This window comes from Homo sapiens, chromosome 21 (genome assembly GCF_000001405.40).
Source record: "Homo sapiens chromosome 21, GRCh38.p14 Primary Assembly".
NCBI lineage: Eukaryota > Metazoa > Chordata > Mammalia > Primates > Hominidae > Homo > Homo sapiens.
In genome coordinates, this window is record NC_000021.9 from 16,470,263 (window position 1) to 16,493,924 (window position 23,662).

Here is a 23,662-nt window from a genome sequence, read left to right on the forward strand (position 1 = left end):
TAATGAAAGCGAGCATGGCAAAATGGTAATACCTATTCTAGATTTCATACTTACAGCCTATTTTTTTTTATTATTTTTGACTCTTCTGAGCTTTTGCATTTTGAAGTATTTAAAAAGTAATTTTATAATGCATATGTTTGTGACCACTTGGGGCCACATTCAGCCTAGATGAGCGATTGAGGAGTAGGCTAGGACTTTGTGTAGTTGTGTTTGGTTGAGTCCGCCTCAGCCGCCTATTAGGATGGATAATATTGCTATAGACAGAGGGAAGCTGGTGTCTGTTAGGTCCTGAAAGAATCCAGTTCGGCATTGACAGGTAAGAGTTACATGTGAGAGGAAACTAAAGAATTGGGTAGGCAGTAAGCCAGCAGGTCCTTGTAGATTGTTAAGAAGTTCAGTCTCTTTTCTAGGAGCAATGGGAAGATGTTGAATGGTTTTTCTTGCAGGGGTAAAAGTGATATGATTGGTTTTGCATTGAAGAATTTAACATTTTCCATTCATTCAAGAAATTTTAAGCTTGCAGCTACCATTTGTCAGGTTCTGTTCCAAATATGTGGACATATATTTGTAAAAAACCAGATAGGCCTTTACACTCAGAAAACTCGAAGTGCAAAGGTAGGTGAAGTTTTTGCTGTCATCTATGGATGAACTTACTAGCTAAATATTTTGAGATCTCCTTATAAGCTGCTTTGCACCTTCAACAACCCATATAATTATCACCTTTGACAAAGATTGGGCAACCATCTTCATTCTAATGACTGAGAATTTTGATAACTCACTAGTTTGTTCATTGTGAGAAAAATCTTTTTGTGTGTGTGTAAAGTGGTTTCTTATATTGTTTTGTCTGTTTCCTATTGTATCTGCAATGGTTATGTGATTCTTTTCCAAGTTTAAGGATTCTAATATTTTAAGGTCAAGAAGGCCTGGGCCAAGGACAGAAGAGCCACATGAGTTGCATGTTCATTACTAAAGCCGAGCCAAAAAACACAGTCCTTCAGAGTGTCATTCGAGAACTGGAATTTTCAGCACTTGCCAAAAAGAGCATTTAAAATTCAAGTATTAGTGATAGGTATCCTTTTAATATTTTGGAGGTAGTCTGTATCTTCTGTACAAGAAACGTGTTCTAAGTGATTAGTTATTATTGGGGACTTGGAAGAAGTGATAAAGATCCATTCTCAATGAGGAAACATGAGCATAGTTAATGCCATCCAGTTTAAAAGATTGGCTTAGTAATTTCCTTTGAGCAGTTCCCTCCGATATTTCCCATTCATTTGACTTCATTCTCCTGGAGTTTTGTCATTTTCCACAAAACTTAATTGATCTATCTTTAGAGACAAATGAGGTCCATTGTTTGCCGTGGAGACAATGTGGATGGTAGTCAAATTTGATTATTGACTCTTTCTCTTTAGTTACATAGAAAATGGGACTACCAGGTTACTCTAGTATCTCAGTGGTTTATCGGACCTAAGTTGGTAGCAACTAAAATTTTATGTAAGTACTTCAAATTGCTCCCTATATTTATTGTAAAACAAAAGCAGTTATCTTAATATACGGCTCTTCTAACATTCAGTTTATCATATAATGAAAAAAGATGTTAGTGCTCAGACCGTAGTATCTATCAATGAATTCTGAAAAAGAAGAAAAAAGCCAGTAAGTATTTATGCTTTTCTTAATTACCAGTTTGATAACTGCAGGCAGATAAATCTTCTTCGTTTTTATAGCCAAGTAATTAAATGTTTTTACAACAAATCTGGCGTGCCAAATAAAGACAAAATTGTTTTTAAAATTTAAAAGAAATGTTAGTTTTCAAGGGATAATATATAAATTTAGGAGTCAATTTAGAGCTTAATATTCCTTTGAGTTTATCTTTCATTTTACATTACTAAATTTCTTTTTAGTTATAAATATTAGTATTTATATTTTAAAATTATATATTTATACAATAATATAGATGTTTGCTTTTAAGATAACCATGGGTGATAGAAACAACAAATCATATATATCTTTGCAAATGCCAGAACATTAGCAGAATTGTACCAAGTTGAATTATATCAAGTCTAGCACTGGTAGAATTACATTGAGGACAACTTTATGTGTTCCCAAATTAGAATTGATTAAGTTGGTTTGTTTGATTTTTTTGTGTAAAGTGGTTTCTTATATTGTAAAGGAAGAGTTAAATGAGCTTATGAGAGATAAAGAGTGAAAATGCTAATTTTAGAAAATGCAAGAACTTGATTTTCAATTCTTTTATTTGTTATTACAAAGGTTCAACCCCAAGGGAAAAACAGGATTGAGTGTCTCATTCGGAGAGGCTTTGCCTCACTTTTCTGTTTGAAAATGGCGGAGCTGGGGAACTGGGCTTGAGAGTGACAGGGACCCAGGTCAAAACTCTGCTGTTCTCCTTTACAATCTTTGTCATGTTAGGAAGTTACTTAATTCTCTTAAGTATCTGTTTCCTTATCTATAAAATGGAAATAATACTTACAAGTTTTAACTAGTATATGTAAGTGTCGTTAAGTGTCCAAAACTCAGTGAAGCTTATTATGCTATGAAACTTTTCCAGTCCTTTCTCTAATCACTGTGTTTATTTTACTTTTTAAATTTTTTATTCTTAATTTTATGACTATATAGTAGCTATACATATTTATGGGGTACATAAGATACTTTGATAAAGGAATATAATGCATAATAATCACATTAGGGTAAATGAGGTGTCTATCGCCTCAAGAATTTATCATTTGTGTTACAAACATTCCAATTATATTATTTTAGTTATTTTTAAAGGTACAATAAATCTGTGTTAACTATAATCACACAATTATGCTATCAACTACTAGATCTTATTCATTCTAACTATATTTTTGTACCCATGAACCAGCCCCATATTCCCCATCACTGTGGGTTTGTTTTTAGATATTTACCTATAGTATTTGATCAGATATTTAATTTAATATTTTAAATAGAGATGGGATCTCACTATGCTGCCCAAACTCATCTCAAACTCCTGGGCTCAAACAATCTTCCCACTGTGGCCTTCCAAAGTGCTGAGATTACAGGTGTGAGCCACCGTGCTCCCCCATCAGATATTTTGCAATCAAGCATGTGTTAAAAATTTTGCAAAGTGTCTGTTGTTATCCATTTCACAGAAAGATCAGATGGTGACATAAAGGAGAATCTCAGGTCCAAATGTCCAAAATAGCAGAAGCAAGGTGATAATTGATAGCCTTTAGGAAGCATTATGACCTCGTATTTTGTTCTTTTCCTTCGTAATCTTCCTAGTTCTTCTAAAAATGTGATCCCAACCCCTCACTTCCATATTTGCCTGTATTATTTCTTTTCATAGCACTTCACCACCATTGATGGTACATATTTATTTATCAATTTATTACTTTTGGTAGTATATAACGTCTGTAAAGCAAGAGTTTGTTATTTTGTATGTAGTCTTCTCTTAATAAAAATTATTAATTATTTTGTATTTTCCATGATATAATTTGGGATAATTTTTAGAAATGAAATATCATACATTCCATTAATTGCGGTCAAAAGAAAATGCATTTAAAGAGGATATATGCATGTGTGTTTTTCAACAAGTAAGGTTAAACTTACTTTGTAACGTATAAAATAAACATAGCTAAAAACTATACTAAAAGTGTGATTTTAAAACTGTGATTTAAAAATACAGCACATTTTACTTAAATGGAGATTTTTGTTCTAGAAAGATATTGAACATGACAATCTGACAATCTGTCCTTGGGACACTGTCACTGCTATTCTCAGATCAGCTGACGAGACCTCAGCTGGGCCTCTGCAAGTTGCTTAAGAACACTTCTAGAACCATCCTAATGGGCATGTTCCAACTGTCACTTGGAAAAAAATGATCACTTGAGATCAATCTGTACAGCAGGTCTTCTGGCAGAAAACCAGTCATATCATTCTCTCCAAAAGAGGCTTTGTGGGGAAAAGGCCTTATCACATTCCTTGGACATGAAGTTACTGTTGGAACCATGCTCGTCTCAAACCATTCTATCACCATGCCAAAAAGCTGCAGCTTCTGAAAGGTCAGAAATGGCCTTATAATGACTTAGACCATCTTATGATTGTTAGGAAGTGAAGATAGTTATAATACTATAAAAGCTTTGGGTCTTTTACCCTTTCATGAGCAGAAACTGTGTGTTATTAACTAAACCACAACTTCCTGATATAAATATCAGAGAGACCAAAGCTAGGAGACTAATATTAACTCTAATCCTATCCTGGACTTGGATTCAGAGTGTAGAATTGGGTTATTCAAATTGTAGAATATTAAAGAGAAAATGGAGTGCACAAAAGGCTAAGAGGAAAAAATATATATTTCTTATGAACAAAAATTCACAATTGTTGCATATGCATTGTTAATAATGTGGGGAAATTTATATTTTTTAATTAAGCTTTATTTTTTAACCTGGTGTTTATTCTTCTGCATTAATTAAATAGAAGAATATATGTTTTGAATTTTAAAATATACTGCTAGTAGGCATTACTTGATTTGAATCATGAAGAGGAGCTGGGAGGTGAATCTCAAAACTGAAAAATTGGAGCATTTCAATAATCCTCATTTTTAAAGTGGCAATGCCAAGCTTTGCAGAAAATCAAAAGAAAGCATGTGCTGTGATAATAAAATTAGACTTTACTCATAAATATTATAGTGCACATCTTAATTCCTTTATGCATCTGTAAAATAAGTGGACTTATCTAGACAATCAAAAAGTTTTTAACTCAGTTAACCTACGAATGATAATATATTTAAAAATACTGTTTTAATAAACATGTTAACTATAATTTCCTATGTATTCATTATAAAGAGTATGTTTGTTTTGTGTCAAAGGTGCATAGTATAGACATTGTAATATTGTTTATTTGCTCCTATGCACTTTTGTAAAAATGCTAAGGTCTATTTTGTCCCTATTCTTCAACTGTGAGCAACTTGCTTTCCTTGTAGAATATCAACTTCTTATGACCGCTTATCCTGATGAAAAAGCTAAAGCTTTTTGTAATGAAAGATAGAATACAGTTGCACGATATTTTAAATTCTTTTGATTGTTCAAACGTTGATTTTCTAAACTAGGAGATTGTTAATTTTTTAAATAGGACATTGTTTTGAAGATACTTTTGGTTGCATCTTCATAAACAATTCTCTCTTCAGTGAAAGAGAAAGGGAGCAGAGAACAAGAAGAGAGTTTCTAAGTAATTTATATAACAAACTAGTAATTTGATTTATCTCTTTGTCCTTCAACTGTCTGCAAAATCTTGCCTTCCACATTCTGCTAATCTTGTCTTAAATTGGTAGTCACTTACACCATGTATGTCACTTTGAAACTTGCAGGTGTGTTTATTTTCCATCATCTTTATTTTGGAGATAGTGAAAAAGCCAAAAATCTCACCTCCAATTAAGAAAAATATTCTTCTAATGCATTCTAATGCATTATGTGTTTTATGTTCTCAAGTACTCTTTTTTTTTTTTTTTTTTAATTTTTAAGACAGAGTCTCTCTCTGTTGCCCAGGCTGGAGTGCAGTGGCGCGATCTCGGCTCACTGCAAGCTCCGCCTCCTGGGTTCACGCCATTCTCCTGCCTCAGCCTCCCGAGTAGCTGGGACTACAGGCGCCCGCCACCACGCCCTTCTCAAGTATTCTTAGCTTGAGATGATGGATTAGAAGAATAGATTTCAGTGTTTAAGCACATTTGCTTGTGCAAAGCATAATTGTGTCCACCTGCAGTAGTGTGTGTATGTGCATAAATTTATATATCTATAAAATAAGAATGCTGAACTATACTCACATGACTGTTCATAGAAAAATGTAGACACACTTTGTGCTTTACCAATTACTGCTATTTCAAAAAACACATTTCTTTATAATTCATTCTGTGACTTTATTCCTCTTAAATATGGTTGGGTCAAGTTACTTAAACTTTGGCACAAAAAATGTTTGTCTCAGCATTCTTTTTTAATGATTTAGGCAGAATTGAAAAACTCGAGTCATAAGATCCAGTGAATACACCTCATTATTAAATAATGCTGTTTCTTGTTACAGCTACTAGCTGCTCTAGCTGGGTACCCTGGCTCGAACTCTCAAATCATTTAAAGCCTACATTTTAAAAACAGTTTTAAATCTAATCTCTTTTTTATATCTGATATGACTTTTAAGCTTACTACATTCATCCTCTGACATTCTGCAAGGGAAACATGAATTAATCATTGAGTTTGTCCAACAAGGAAAGATGCATCTTACTGATACTGTGAGCTTCCAGTGTGGTACACACAAGCTGTTTCTGAGATTATAGCACAAGCAAACATTCCCACAGCTATTGTGTTGCTGTTTGCTCAGTTCCCAGTCTCTTAGAATTCCAGGTTGTGATAGTACAGCAGTGGAATCTATGCTTATGTAGTGTTGATTCTGTTATTGTACTCACTGCAAACCTAGAGGTTACTATCTGTTAATAGCAAAACAAACTTGGCCAAGGGTTATTATGATGTATCTTCTGAAAGCATTTACCAGAAACAGTTTGTTAATTGTTACAAAAATTGTATTTTATTTCATAGTCACAAATGTTTATATATTTTTAAAAATATGAAATGTAGCCAGAGAGAAAATAATAATTCCGTTATTGCTTATAATTTGACAGATCAATTTAGAATGAGGAAGCATATTTTAAAGAGCAAATGGTACATTTTCTTTGTCTGAAGTCTGCCTAGAAAACAGATTTTATGTGACGGACTACTGGGTGGCTTCTTTCATATCCAGCTAGTAGTGTTATTGACTGATTTTGCCAGCTCTGCAGCTCATGTGCTTTTTAACTTAATTTTTGTTCCCGCTTTCTCTCATTGATTTGTAAGCAGCTTAAGATCAGAATGCTGTCATCTAATTCATTGGTATCTCCCTCCAAGGAATGGAGTTTTATTTTATGTTAAAATTTTTTTCTGGGTACAGAGTAGGTGTGTATATTTATGTGGTACATGAGATGTTTTGATATAAGCATGCAATGTGAAATAAGCACATCATCAAGAATGGAGTATCTATCACCTTCATTGAGCTGCAAACAATCCAATTACACTATTATTTTAAAATGTTATTCTTCAATATAGTCACCATGTTGTGTTATCAAATAGTAGCTCTTATTCATTCTTTCTATTTTTTAAAAAATGTTTTTACCCATTCACCATCCCCGCCTCTACCCACAATCCCCCACTACCACTTCCCAGCTTCTGGTACCTATCCTTTCTACTCTCTCTGTCCATGACTTCAGTCTTTTTGATTTTTAGATCCCCAAAACAACTGAGAACATGGGTGTTTGTCTTTCTGTGCCTGGATTATTTCACTTAACGATCTCCAGTACCATCCATGTTGTTGCAAATGACAGGATATCATTCTTTTTTATAGCTGAATAATACTCCATTGTGTATATGTATATGTACCACATTATCTTTATCCATTCATCTGTTGATAGACACTTATGTCGTTTTCAACTCTTAGCTATTGTAAATAGTGCTGCAACAAACATAGGTGTGCAGATAGCTCTTCAATATTCTCATTTCCTTTCTTTTAGGTATATAACCAGCAATGAAATTGCTGGATCATGTAGTAGCTCAATTTTTGTTTTTTGAGGAAACTCCAAACTGTTCTCCATAGTGGTTGTACAAATTTACATTCCACCCAACAGTGTACAAGGATTCTCTTTTGTCCACATCCTCGCAAGCATTTGTTACTGCCTGTATTTTGGACATAAGCCATTTTAACTGAGGTGAGATGATATCTCATTATAGTTTTGATTTGCATTTCTCTGATGATGAGTAATGTTGAGCACCTTTTCGTATGCTGCTTTGCCATTTGTATGTCTTCTTTTGAGAAATGTCTCTTCAAAACTTGCCCATCTTTTGACTGGATTATTATTTTTTTTCCTAGAGTTGTGTGAGTTCCTTATATATTCCAGTTATTAATTCCTTATCACATGGGTAGTTTGAAAATATTTTCTCCCATTCTCTGTGGATTGTCTCTTCACTTTGTTGATTGTATTCTTTACTGGGCAGAATCTTTTAAACTTGGTGTGATCCCATTTGTCCATGTTTGCTTTGGTTGCCTGTGCTTGTGGAGTATTGCTCAAGAAGTCTTTGCCTAGACCCATGTTGTAGAGCTTTCCCCCATGTTTTCTTGTAGTACTTTCACAGTTTGAGGTCTTAGACTTAAGTCTTCAATCCATTTTGATTTGATTTGAGAGAGACAGGGGTCTAGTTTTGTTTTTGCATATGGATATCCAGTTTTCACAGCACTATTTATTGAAGAGACTGTCTTTTTCCCAGTGTATGTTCTTGGCACCTTTGTAAAAAAAAAAAAAAAAAAATGAGTTCACTGTAGGTGCGTGGATTTGTGCCTGAGTTTTCTATTCTGTTCCACTGTTCTATGTGTCTGTTTTTATGCCAGTACCATGCTGCTTTTGTTACCATAGCTCTGTAGTATAATTTGAGGTCAGGTAATGTGATTCCTCCAGTTTTATTCTTTTTGCTTAGGATAGCTTTGGCTATTCTCGGTCTTTTGTGGTTCCATATTAGTATGAGGATTGATTTTTTTCTATTTCTTTGAAGAATGTCATGGGAATTTTGATAGGGATTACACTGAATCTATAGATTTCTTTGGGTAGAATGGACATTTTAACAATATTGATTTTCCAATCCTTGAACATGGATTTGTTTTTTCATTTTTTTTTTGATGTACTCTTCAACTTCTTTCATCAATTTATAGTTTTCGTTATAGAGATCTTTTACTTGTTTGGTTAAGTTAGTTCCTGCATATTTAATTTTATATATGATTATCATAAATGGGATTTTTTAAATATTTCCTTTTCAGATTGTTCACTGTTGGTATATAGAAATGCTACTGGTTTTTATATGGTGATTTTGTATCCTGCAACTTTACTGAATTTATCAGTTCTAATAGTTTTGGGGGGAGTCTTTAGATTTTTCCAGATATAAGATCTTATCATCTGCAAACAAGGATAATTTTACTTATCCTCCTTTTCAATTTGGATGAGCTTTATATCTTTCTCTTGTTTGATTGCTGTAGCGAGGATTTACAGTGCAATGTTGAATAACAGTGATGGCAATGGTCATTCTTATATATTCCCAATCTTAGAGGAAAAATTTTCAGTATTTCCTCATTCAGTATGATACTAGTTATGGGTCTGTCATATGTGGCTTTTGTTATGTTGAGGTATATTTCTTCTATGCCCAGTTTTTTTAGGGTTTTTATTATGAAGGGATGCTGAATTTTATCAAATGCTTTTTCAGCATCAATTGAAATAATCACATGGTTTTTATCCTTCATACTCTTGATAGGATGTATCACATTGATTGGTTTGCATATGTTGAACCATCCTTGCATCCCAGGGATTAATGAGTGATTTTTGTAATATATTGTTATAATGATTGATTTTTGTAATGTGTTGTTGAATTCTGTTTGTTAGTATTTTATTGAGAATTTTTTCATCAATATTCATCAGCAATATTGGCTTGTGGTTTTCTATTTTTGATGTGTCTTTGTCTGGTTTTCATATCAGGATAATACCACCCTCATACAATGTGTTTGGAAGTATTTTCTTTGCTTTTATTTTTTAAAATAGTTTGAGTAAGATTGGTATAAGTTCTTTTTTTTAATTTCAATAGGTTTTTGGGGAACAGATAGTGTTTGGTTACATTATTAAGTTCTTTAGTGGTGATTTTTTGATGCATCCAACACCCAAGCAGTGTACCATGTACCCAGTGTGTAGTCTTTTATCCTTCATCCTTCTCCTACCATTTTCCCCAAGTTGCCAAAGTCCATTGTATCATTCTTATGCCTTTGCATCCTTATAGCTTTGCATCCCACTTATGAGTGAGAACATACAATGTTTGGATTTCCATTCCTGAAATATTTCGCTTAGAATAATGGTCTCCAATTCCCTGTGAATGCCATTATTTCATTCTTTTTTAATGGCTGAGTAGTATTCAATGGTGTGTGTATATATATATATAAATTGTGGTATATATATACACACCACAATTTTTTAATCCATTGGTCGATTAATGGGCATTTGTGCTGGTTCCAATTTTTGCAACTGCAATTTGTGCTACGATAAACTTGTGTGTGCAAATATCTTTTTCCTGTAATCACTACTTTTCTGCTGAGTAGATACCCAATATGGGATTACTGAATCAAATGGTAGTTCTACTTTAGTTCTTTAAGGAATCTCCACACTGTTTTCCATAGTGGTTGTACTAGTTTTCATTTTCATCAGCAGTGTAAAAGTGCTCCCTTTCCACCACATTCATGCCAACATCTATTTTTTTTTATTTTTTGATTCTGTGAAGAATGATGGTGTTATTTTGAAGGAAATTGCGTTAAATTTGTAGACTGCTTTTGATTCTGGCCATTCTTGCAGGAGTGAGATGGTATCGCATTGTGATTTGGATTTGCATTTCCCTGATCATTAGTGATGTTGAGCATTTTTTCATATGTTTGTTGGCCATTTGTATATCTTCTATTGAGAATTGTCTATTTATGTCCTTAGTTCACTTTTTAATGAGATTGTTTGTTTTCTTCTTGCTGATTTGTTTGAGTTCCTTGTAGATTCTGGATATTAGTCCTGTGCTGGATGTATAGCTTGCAAAGATGTTCTCGCACTCTGTGGTTTGTCTGTTTACTCTGCCGGATGTTTCTTTGCTATGCAGAAGCATTTTAGTTTAATTAAGTTCCATCTATTTTTCTTTGTTTTTGCTGCATTTGCTTTTGGGTTCTTGGTCATGAAGTGTTTGCTTAAACCAATATCTAGAAGGGTTTTTCCAATGTTAACTTATAGAATCTTTATGGTTTCAGTTCTTAGATTTAAGTCCTTGATCTATCTTGTGTTTATTGTTGTACGAAGTGAGAAATGAGGATTCAGTTTCATTCTTCTACAAGTGGCTTGCTAATAATTATCACAGCATCATTTCTCAAATAGAGTGTCTTTTCCATACTTTGTGTTTTTGTTTGCTTTGTGAAAAATCAGTTGGCTGCAAGTATTTGGCTTTATTTCTGGGTTCTCTTTTCTGTTACATTGGTCTATGTGCCTATTTTTATACCAGTAGCATGCTGTTTTGGTGACTATGGCCTTATAGTATAGTTTGAAGTCAGGTAATGTGCTATGCCTTCAGATTTGTTATTTTTGCTTAGTCTTGCTTTGGCTATGTGGGCTCTATTTTGGTTCCATATGAATTTTAAGATTTGTTTTTATAGTTCTGTAAAGAATGTTGGTGTTATTTTGATGGGAATTGCATTGAATTTGTAGAGCTTTGGGCAGTGTTGCCATTTTCACAATATTGATTCTACCAATGCATGAGCATGGGATGTGTTTCCCTTTATTTGTGTTGTCTGTGAATTCATCCAGCAGTGTTTTGTAGTTTTCCTTGTAGAGGTCTTTCACCTCTTTGGTTAGGTATACTACTAAGTATTTTATTTTATTTTATTTTATTTTATTTTATTTTATTTTATTTTATTTTATTTTATTTTATTTCATTTCATTTCATTTTATTTGCAGCTATGGTAAAAGGTGTTATTTCTTATTTATTTATTTATTTATTTATTTTTTTGAGACAGAGTCTCGCTCTGTCACCCAGGCTGGAGTGCAGTGGTGCGATCTCGGCTCACTGCAAGCTCCGCCTCCCGGGTTCACGCCATTCTCTTGCCTCAGCGTCCCGAGTAGCTGCGACTACAGGTGCCCACCACCATGCCTGGCTAATTTTTTGTATTTTTAGTAGAGATGGGGTTTCACCATGTTAGCCAGGATGGTCTTATCTCCTGACCTCATGATCCACCCACCTTGGCCTCCCAAGGTGCTGGGATTACAGGCGTGAGCCACTGCGCCTGGCCAGGGGTTGAGTTATTGATTTGATTCTCAGCTTGGTCGATTTTGGTGTATAGAAGAGCTACTGATTTGTGTACATTAATTTTGTATCTGGAGACTTTGCTGAATTCTTTCATCAGTTCTAGGAACTTTCTGGAGGAGTCTTTAGGGTTTTATAGGTAAACAATTATATGATCAGCAAACAGTGACAGTTTGACTTCCTCTTTACTGATTTGGATGCCCTTTATTTCTTTCTCTTGTCTGATTGCTCTGGCTAGGACTTTCAGTACGATGTTGAAGAGGAGTGGTGAGAGTGGGCATCTTTGTCTTGTTTCAATTCTCAGAGGGAATTCTTTCAACTTTCCCCCATGCAGTATTATGTTGGCTGTGGGTTTGTTACACATGGCTTTTATTACATTATATGCCAGTTTTGCTGAGAGTCTTAATCATAAAGGATGTTGGGTTTTGTCAAGTGCTTTTTCTGCATCTATTGAGATGATCATGTGATTTTTGTTTTTAATTCTGTTTATGTGGTGTATCACATTTACTGACTTGTGTATGTTAAATCATTCCTGCATTCCTGATTTGAAACTCACTTAATTGTGGTGGATTATCTTTTTGAAATGTTGTTGGATTTGGTTAGCTAGTATTGTGTTAATGATTTTAACATCTATGTTCATCAGGGACATTGTTCTGTAGTTTTCTTTTTTGGTTATGTCCTTTCCTGGTTTTCGTATTTGGGTGATATAGGCTTCATATGAATAGAATAATTTAGAGAGGATTCCCTCTTTCTGTATCTTGTGGAATAGTGTCAATAGATAGTACCAGTTCTTCTTTGAAAGTCTGATGTAATTCAGCTGTGAATCCAACAGGTCCTAGACTTTTCTTTTGTTGTCGGCAATTTTTTTTTTTTTAGCACCATTTCAATCTTGCTGCTTGTTATTGGTCTGTTCAGAGTTTCTATTTCTTCCTGGTTTAATCTTGGAGGGTTGTATATTTCCAGGAATGTACCCATCTCCTTTAGGTTTTCTAGTTTATGCATTTAAAGGTGTTCATGGTAGCCTTGCATGATCTTTTGTATTTCTGTGGTATTGGTTGTAATATCTCCTGTTTCATTTCTAATTGAGCTTATTTTGGATCTTCCCTCTTCTTTTCTTGGTTAATCTCACTAATGGTCTATCAATTTTATTTATATTTTTAAATAACCAGCTTTTTGTTTCATTTATTTTTTGTGATTTTTTTTGTTTCAGTTTTATTTAGTTCTGCTCTGATTTTTGCTATTTCTTTTCTTCTGCTGGGTTTGGTTTTGGTTTGTTCTTGTTTCTCTAGTTTTTCAAGGTATAACCTTAGATTGTCTATTTGTGCTCTTTCAGACTTATTGATGTAGGTATTTAAAGCTGTGAACTTTCCTCTTAGCACTGCCTTTGCCATATCTCAGAGGTTTTGATATGTTGTGTCACTATTATTCAATTCAAAGAATTTTTAAATTTAAATTTCCATCTTGATTTTATTGTTGACCCAGTGATCATTCAGGAGCAGGTTATTTAATCTCCATGTATTTCCATGGTTTTAAGGTTTCCTTCTGGAGTTGATTTCCAATTTTATTCCACTGTGGTCTGAGAGCACCTGATATAATTTCAGTTTTCTTAAATGTATTGAGACTTGTTTTGTCTCAATTATTATATGGTCTATCTTGGCGAATGTTCCATGCACTGATAAATAGAGTGTACATTCTGCAGTTGTTGGGTAGAATGTTCTGTAAATTTCTGTTAAGTCCGTTTGTTGTAGAGTATAGTTCAAATCCATTGTGTCTTTTTTGACTTTCTGTCTTGATGGCCTGTCTAGTACTGTCAGTGGAGTATTGAAGTCCCTCACTATTGTTGTGTTGCTGCCTATCTCATTTCTTAGGTCTAGTAGTAGTTTTATAAATTTGGGAGCCCCAGTGTTAGGTGCGTGTATATGTATATGCTAGGTGTGTGTGTGTGTATATATATGTTATATATATGTTATATATGTTATATATTATATATATGTTATATATATGTTATATATATGTTTTATATATATATGTTAGGTGCATATATGTATATATATGTGTATATATACAGGATTGTGATATTTTCCTGTTGCACTAGTTCTCTTATCATTATATAATGTCCCTCTTTTTCTTTTTAATTGCTGTTGCTTTAAAGTTTGTTTTGTCTGATATAAGTTTTATAAATTTGGGAGCCCCAATGTTAGGTGCGTGCATATATATATATATATATATATATATATATATATATATATATATGTTAGGTGCACATATATATATATGTAATATATATATGTTTTATATATATATGTTATATATGTTATATATATGTTTTATATATATGTTATATATATGTTTTATATATGTGTTATATATATGTTTTATATATGTGTTATATATATGTTTTATATATATATGTTAGGTGTGTATATGTATACGTATATATGTATACATATACGTATATATACATATATATACACATATATATAGGATTGTGATATTTTCCTGTTACACTAGTCCTCTTATCATTATATAATGTCCTTCTTTGTCTTTTTAATTGCTATTGCTTTAAAGTTTGTTTTGTCTGATGTAAGAATAGCTATTCCTGCTTGTTTTTGGTGTCCACTTGCATAGAATAACTTTTTCCACCCCTCTACCTAAAGTTTATGTGAGTCCTTATGCATTAGGTGAGTCTCTTGAAGACAGCACATACTTAGTTGGTGAATTCTTATCCATTCTGTGATTTTGTGTCTTTTAAGTGGAGCATTTATGTCATTTACACTCAATGTTAGTATTGAGATGTGAGGTACTTTTCTTTCCATCATGCTAATTCTTGCCTGAATCCTTTGTTTTTTCAACTGTGTTTTTGTTTCATAGGTCCTGTGAGATTTATGTTTTAAGGAGGTTCTATTTTGGTGTATTTCAAGGATTCGTTTCAAGATTTAGAGCTCCTTTTAACAGTTCTTGTAGTGCTGGCTGGCTTGGTACTGTCAAATTCTCTCAGCAATTGTTTGAAAAAGACTATTTTTTCTTCCTTTATGAAGCTTAGTTTTGCTAGATACAAAATTCTTGGCTGATAATTGTTTTGTTTTAGGAGGCTGAAGATGGGGCTCCAATCCCTTCTAGCTTGTAGGGTTTCTTCTCAGAAACCCTCTTAGATATTGGTCTTAAAGCCTTGCCCTTGTGAGGGTATTTTCCAGATTCTGTATGCATGCTTTATTGTTTTCTATTCTTTTATCTTTTGTCTCCTCTGACTGTATTTTTAAGTAGCCTGTTCTTCACACTCACAAATTTGTTCTTCTTCTTGATCTATTCTGCTATTAATGGACTCATGCATTCTTCATTATGCCAAATGCATTTTTCAGCTCAAGAATTTATGCTTCTTTTTGGTTATTTTGATCTCTTTGTTAAATTTTTCTGATATAATTTTGAATTGCTTCTCTGTGTTATCGTGAATTTCTTTGAGTTTACTCAACACAGCTATTTTGAATTCTCTGTCTGAAAGGTCACATATGTCTGTTTCTCCAGGATTGGTCCCTGGTGCCTTATTTAGTTCACCTGGTGACATCATGTTTTCCTGGATGGTACTGAAGCTAGTAGATGTTCTTCAGTGCCTGGGCGTTGAAGAGTCAGGTATTTATTGTAGTCTTCAGTGTCTAGGCTTATTTGTAGCTGTCCAGAATTCTTGGGGAGGCTTACCAGATATTTGAAAGAACTTGGGTGTTATGACCTAAGGCGTTTCTGGTATAGGGAGCATCCCAAGCCCAGTAACTCTGTGGTGCTTGCAGACTCACAGAGGTACCAACTTGATGGTCTTGGACAAGATCCGGGAGAATTTTCTGGATTACCAGGCAAAAACTCTTGTTCTCTTTCCGTGCTTTCTCCCAAACATACAGTCTCTCTCTCTGTTCTGAGCCACCTAAAACTGGGAATGGAGTGACACAAGCACCCCTGTGGCCACCACCACTGTGACTGCACTGAGTCAGATGTGAAGACAGCACACCGCTAGGTCTTGCACGGGCCTGCTGTAACCATTCCCTGGCTACTGCCTATGTTCACTCAAGGCCCCACAATCAGCGGGTGGCAAAGGCAGCCAAGAATGGTCAAGGAAAGGAGTTTTAAATGAGGTGGATACAGTAAATGTTGATGACATAGATTATTCAGGCAGAAATATGATGTTTCATCAAGCGGATGGAACTTATCAAGAAGAAAATACATAATTCTACTTCCTTTACTTCTTTCCAATCTTGGAAATTATGAAGGGTTAAAAAACTTAATGTTGTGAAATGGGTATGAGGAAGAGAGATGGAAATTTTACCCTTAGTTCTGCCGTGAACTAGTGATGTGACGTTGCTTTGCTTCTCTGTAAAGTGAGGAAGTTGAACCAGTTGATTTTTAAATTACCTTCTAGTTATAAGACTAATGCTGTTTTAATGAAGGGCATCATAATTTTTAATAATAATTCTCTACACCAGATAATAGTCTGTTACATTTCTAGAATGTAAAACTTGGGCCACTTAAGCTGAAACCTTATGATCATGTCCACATAATGGATTTCAATCTCAGCACCTATTTTTTTAATAATTTAAAAAGATGTTATTAAATCTAAAAGTCTTAGTTTTGTCATTTTGTTATTTTTTAGCTGTTATTTTGTTTTATTGTAGCAATATGGAGTGATTTTTCTTTTTTCTTTTTACCTTTACCAACTGTCAATTTAAACATTACTAAATTGACTAATCGTTTTGAATAACAATGAGTCTTTTTTTTTTTTTTTTAAATTTTGAGATGGAGTCTTGCTCTGTCACCCATGCTGGAGTGCAGTGGCATGATCTCAACTCACTGCCACCTCTGCCTCCTGGGCTCAAGTGATCCTCCCACTTCAGTCTCCTGAGTAGCTGAGGTGCCACCACCATGCCTGGCTAATTTTTGTATTTTTGATAGAGATGGGGTTTCACCATGTTGCCCAGGCTGGCCTTGAGCTCCGGAGCTCAAGCAATCAACCTGCCTCAGCCTCTCAACATGCTGGGATTACAAGCATGAGCCACCACGCCCCACCAAGAGTTTTAATCATTACATTCATGCTCTACAGAGCACAAACATGCTCATGCTTTTATTCTAATGCTCATGTGCCCTTTGTCACTATCAGTGTTGCCAGTCTCATGTATGTATGAGAAGGAACAGAGAATGCCTTGCCACAGTGTATCGTTACCAAATACACCACTAACACTCACTGTGTATAATAATGTTAAAGCAGTTAGCTATTTTTTTAAATTCTCTATTTCATCTATTTTCTGTTTCTTTTCCAGGACATCCATAAAAATTCATCAGAGAGCATTTTACTACTGAGCTGCAAAGGTAGGAAAAATAAATTTTTTTTGGTTAGAAAATATACTTCTTTCATCTGCGTTTCAATAATTTATTCCCCTTGTTAGATATACATGGAATTGATATTGCTTATTCTGACTAAGTGAAAAGTGTTATTTCTACTTACTGCTCAATTAGAAACATGTAGTGTTTAATTGTCAGTTTGAATTTTTCTTTCATACTATTACAGTTTATATTTTACTATAGGCAGAATTTCCTCTTTATCCTAAATTTTGATATTCTCCATAATTTCATCGTGCCTTGACATTGCTGTATATAATTTCTATACATCAGGAAGGCAATTCTGTGTGCATGTGTGTGTGTATATATATAGTTAGAAGTTAGAAACTGAAACTCTTTTTTGTCTACCATCATTTCATATTTTTCTTGCTATTTCAAACCTATAATTTTTAAAGAAACGACTAACGTAATCATTCATAGAATATGCTGTCAGTAACTTAACAATATAAATGTTAACATGGAGGCATTTAGTTCAGCATTTGCTTTACTTAATAGAGTGCAGAAAATGTGGCCCTTTTCTCAGTTAGGGTGTATGTGAAGATAAATTTAGAATTTCTAGACTAGTAAATACTTCTCTGATAATAACTTAATTATAGCTATTTCAAACCAAATTGTTTAATTGTGGTGAATCATATGTAAATTGTTCAGATGTAGGTCAACACCCACGCCCACATTCTAGCACCTCTTTCCTAATTCAAGACAACTTTGCAGTGCCTAAAAGAGCTGAACAGTGCAGATTAGAGACATAAGACAAAAAAAAAAAAAAAACACAAAACAATGGTAACATAAAAACCAACCGTGTCAGAATGGTAACACAAAAACCAACCAGGAGTCAGAAAGTCTCTGTAATAATGAATAGGCAGGTTGTATTTATTTAGACTTTGCTTGATTATTTCTTAGGCTTTATATGTTTGTAGATAACAGTTTCCTCACTGCTCACGAGATTTGTGGCAAGCAAACTCATGGTGCTTCTAGGATATTAAATTTTCTCATCTGTAAAGTACATGCAATAGCATCATTATTGTCTACTCATTGAACTGAAATAAGGATTAAACAAATCAAGGACTGTAAAATGAACGTGTGACTCCTCAAATCCCATACGGGAAGAACATGCTGTTTTTCTTGATCTGGTTGAGTCAAAGATCACTGATGGCAAGAATGCCTTCTGTAGCTGCAGGTGAGGACAACTGAGATACGGTGCAATTGCAGAAAGTAAATAAACTTTTTATTTTTTGAGCTGTTACATTATAGTTCTAATCTATGGATGCCTTTGTGATGCAGCATTGTATCATTTTCTGATGAATGGCTAAGGTTTTATGATTCTATTTTATCTTTATATATTGTCTGCTGTATTTTCAAATATTTTATTTCCATTTATAGATGCATTGAAAAATCATAAAGCACATTGCATAAATGTGTTACATTTGTTTTTGCTTATTTGTTTATTTGAGACGGAGTCTTGCTCTGTCACTCAAGCTGGATTGCAGTGGCGCAATCTCAGCTCACTGCAACCTCCGTCTCCCAGGTTCGAGCAATTCTCCTGCCTCAGCCTCCCGAGTAGCTGGGATTACAGGCACCCGCCACCATGTCTGACTAATTGTTGTATTTTTAGTAGAGACAGGGTTTCACCATGTTGGCCAAGCTGGTCTCGAACTCCTTACCTTGTGATTTGGGAGGCCTACCTCAGCCTCCCAAGTACTGGGATTACAGGCGTGAGCCAGCATGCCCAGCCTGTTGTTGCTTATCTTTAGGTGATTATTGCTGATGTTTTTGGTATATTGACAGAAAATAGTCTTGCTGCTTGTTGATGTATACTACTTTTTGGCTTTAATGATAATAAAATTATAATTTTGCCTTAATATAAACTTAATTTTTATTGTCACTTATCACGAGAATTTGTTCAAGGATTTGAACTTATATCTGCATATAATTTATGATTTTTGACATTTTCTAAAAATTAATTATCGAAAAAAGTGGCAATTGTTTATTTTAATTCTTAGAGGGGTAAAATAAATGGTGTATCCTTTGCGCTTCTTTCAATATGAGTATCTTTGTTGTTTTAATTATTTAAGATAAAAAAATAAGAATTACACTAAACATAAAATGATATATCCCTCAAAGTTAGCTACTACAAAAGTTTTCGTATTTATTCTTTCAGATTCTTTCTTTATATACAGAAACATCAATATCAATATGAGCATATAATGTTTCCATATCATATATATGATCCTCTGGATTTTTTTTTGGTGTTTACCATTTTAATTATGGGCATTCTTCTAAGTCTATGTATGTTCTCTATTTCATCGTTTGTAATGGCTGCACATTAGTCAATATTTTGGATGTATCATGATTTATTTAATAGGTCCTCTAAGCTTTTGTTTAAAAAATAGAACTTTAAAATAGAATAAAAAGAGGCCTCTCTTAATTACAGGTTTGGCAGGCATACAAAAGAATAATTCTCACTTGTATACTGAATCAAGAAATTAAGGAGTAAAGAAAAAGTGTTACAGTAAAGAGTCATTGAAAATAGTATTGAGTAAGTGTGTATTAGTGGGCTGGGTAAAGGAAAGCTAATAATATAGATATTCATGCAAGTGTGTTGTAGGTGTGTAAAATGGAACAGCTACCCATTTCTTCAGAGTTTATCTCAAATGGCACCTCCTTCCATAAGCACTCAGAGACTTTTCCCTTCATTCCCACTCTCACCAGTTGTCTTACATCGCTATAAAAATTCAGGGAAAAATAGACCTTTTCATGTTATGTCCCATGTACAAATTCATTTTGTATGCATCTTTTTTTTTCCTCACTAGGCTGTTAACCCCTAGAGGGTAATGACTGTGTGTTATTCATCTTTGAACCTAATAGATGCAGAAAAAAATATTCATTCAATTAAATTGGAACAAAGTGTAAGAAAAGAAAGTAATCGGCAGGGCACAGTGGCTCACACCTGTAATCCTAGTACTTTGGAAATCCAAAGTGGGTGGATCACCTGAGGTCAGGAGTGTGAGACCAGCCTGGCCAACATGGTGAAACCCTGTCTCTACTGAAAATACAAAAAATTAGCCAGGAGTGGCAGCTCACACCTGTAATCCCAGCTACTTGGGAGGCTGAGGCAGGAGAATCGCTTGAACCCGGGAGGTGGAGGTTACAGTGAGCCAAGATCGCACCACTGCACTCCAGCCCGGGCATCAGAGCAAGACTCTGTTTCAAAAAAAAAGAAAAGTAATCAAGTAGAACTGTTAAATCTTACACAGATTTTATAAGATGCCACTATATGCCTTGCTATTATGCCTGGAGTAAATTATAATCAATTCTCCTGATGGATGAGACACAAATAATATAAACACATGGGTTTGATATATAATGGAAATTATTTTAAATTGAATTTTAGTGATTTTTTGTGGTATTTATGTTCAAAAAGCATACCGACAAGTCAAGCATTTCAGAAAAATGTTTATAAATGTATGAAAAAGTTGTTTGTGTGGTGCTGAACTTGGATATATATTACTGCATATCAATGTGAAAACATTGTGTCAGCTTCAAAGCATTGTGCATATGGAAGACATTATTGCTATTGTTAATACTGTAATAGAATTGCCTCTGCGGATTAAAAATGTAGATGTTTATGTACAAAATAGCAGCAATAAGTAAAAGAAGAAATTATTTATATGGATTCTATTAAATAAAAAGGGAGTACTGTTTTCAGTACTTTGTGTAATGCAGATTGCTACTCATGCCATTTAAATCTCTGACATTGTCTTACCATTTGAATCATGCTTGAAAGAACCTGTGTCCACTTAGTCTGATTTCACTGGTAAAATAAATTAGGAAAAAAAACAAAAACAAAAACGAAACAGTGAACAGATGTAACGATTGCAATTTAATTTAAAGAAAAATTAGAAAATAGTGGAAGTAAAATATCCCTTTGAAACAGAATGTAATGCCTAGTGAGTTCTTTTTCTTATCTCACTTGCAAAAGTCACTAGCTCCAACTCTGATTTCACATGCCTATTACTGAGCAGGTCAATAAGTCATTGGGAAGAAGGCGAGTATCTTGGTCAGTCTTTTCTAATTTATTTATTTTTTTTAGGCTGTTGCTGAGCTTTGTAAACCCAGAGGCTGAAACTTAGTGTTTCAAATGCATATCTTAGCAATGCTTTTTTGTTTTGTTTTTTTAAAACAACAACAACAACAACAAAAGCTCTGATCTCCTCATTGTTTTCTATTTTGCTAGGGATACAAATATAAGTACCTCTAGCCCCTATGGCATGCAAAAAAATGAGTGTAACAACAAATATCAGATAATAGAAAATGGTGGGTACTGAGGAACAGGTGATCGTATGGTTAACATCTGTGCTATAAGGGCTACTTCTAGAATACTATAATGAACATTCTAGTCAAATGTTCTGACAAATTGTGTGTTCCAGTGGCTACCACTTCTGAAGATTTAGGAAGTTGAGTATCGGAATTTTTATGTAAAATTTCATGATTTTGAATGTTGGCTCAAAGATAGAAAGGAAAAAAGAAAGAAAAGGAAGGAAGGAAGGAAGGAAGAAAGGAAAGAAGGTAGGTCGGTCAAGGACTAGGGACTAAATTATGCCCCCTGCCTTGCAATTCATATGTTAAAGCCCTAACCCCCAATGTGATAGCATTTGGAGGTGGGGCCTACGTGAGATAATTAGGTTTAGATAAAATTATGAGGGATGTTCATGATTAGATTATGGTCCTTATAAAAAGAGATACAAGAGGGCTTGTTTCCTTTCTCTTGTTTCCCACGTGAGGGTGGAGCAAGAAAGCCATTGTTAGCAGGCCGGGAGAATGCTCGCTGGGGTATCTCATTGGCCAATATCTTGATCTTGGACTTTCCAACTTCCAAAACTGAAAGAAAAAAAAAATACTGTTGCTTAAGCCACCTAAGCTATGGCATTGTGTTATGGAAGTCCAGCCTGCCTGGAAATAGCAATGACTACCATCTAATCCTTAGATTCCATTCGAGTTTTATGGGCTGTCCAAGTGAATTCCGATGACTGTCCTTTAAGGTGTAAGAACTTGTTTCTGAGTGATGTGCGCTGTTTAGTAGTCATGTTTTATTAGTTTCTGTCAGTGTAGGAAAGTGCCACAGACTTTTCTTGAGTTTCTTGACCCTGACACTTTTGAAGATTACATGCCAGCTGTTCTGCAGAATGAATTTAATTTGGGTTTAATTCAGGGATCAGGTTTTATGCCAATTTGGATCCTAGTGTCTGGGACAGTGTCTGGCATAGAGATTGTGTTTCATAACTAATTGAGGAATGGATTATGATTGAAAATATCTATTGTGCACCTCTGAATCACCAGGCTAATGCTAAGTATTTCAAAACTTTCTAAATAAAAAAAATGTCAAAAATAGAAAACACACAAGTCTAAAATCAGAAAAGAAACCCTCAAAAACACAGACTCTGGTGTCTTCTCCTAGCAGCACTGGGATCTGTTCTTTAATGTATATAGTGAGCAGGCAGGTGCTAGCCACTGTGTAAGTGAATACTAGTTTCTTTAGAGCAGGGCTTCTGAAAGTGTGGTTTGTGGTCTGCTTCCAGGTCACAAGTTGTTTCAGATTCATGATGACATAAGAAGAGAAATTGGAAATGAGAATTTAGAAATCTTTGAGCATTTTGACAAAATAATTTTGTTTTTGCTATCTAATAATTCCAAAACCATCTCACATTTTATCTGTATTTTTATTACACTAAGCTGATTATTAATTTACATTGTATTTTTCCATTGTATTGATCCATAATTGAGTGGAAATTTTAAAATGTAATTATTTACCACAGTTGGTGGCCATTCTTCATTGCTTTAGGGGGATTAAAGTAGAGTGGTGTAAATGTGATCTAGACCATGGTGGGATTTGACATAGACCCCAAAGAATGGATAAAATCCACCTAGAACATAAAGTATAGAGCTCGACAATTTATGCACAATAAAATGTTAGAATATATGTGTATGCATATATGTGTGCATGTGTGTACTTGTATGCCTGTTTGTATGTGTGAACTTTCTTTTATGCACTGTTATCTGTGCACATGTACTCTTGTGTATGTGCACATATATCATACATGTGGGTGCACATGGGTGCGCATATATATGTTTGCATGGGCATGTGTGTGTATTTGGGAATGTGCATGATATGTTCATAGAACTGGGTAATCATGATCTTGACTAGTTTTTTAGCTGTCCAGTTTTGGACATTAAATTTGAGGTGCCTGTAGAAGAAGAGAGAGGGGGCCGGGCACAGTGGTTCACACCTGTAAAGCCAGCACTTTGGGAGGCCAAGGTGGGTGGATCACGAGGTCAGGAGTTTGTGACCAGCCTGACCA

At 34.4% G+C, this 23,662-nt stretch overlaps 1 long non-coding RNA gene across 13 annotated transcripts in view; it reads left to right on the forward strand.

Annotated features, from left to right (window-relative positions):
• Positions 1-23,662, forward strand: part of MIR99AHG (mir-99a-let-7c cluster host gene) — a 561,240-nt gene that overhangs the window by 399,775 nt on the left and 137,803 nt on the right. For all 13 annotated transcript variants that reach the window (NR_136541.1, NR_136542.1, NR_027790.3 and 10 more), the window contains one exon: positions 17,228-17,276. This is a non-coding gene — a long non-coding RNA (mir-99a-let-7c cluster host gene). The remainder of the gene's footprint in view (positions 1-17,227; positions 17,277-23,662) is intronic.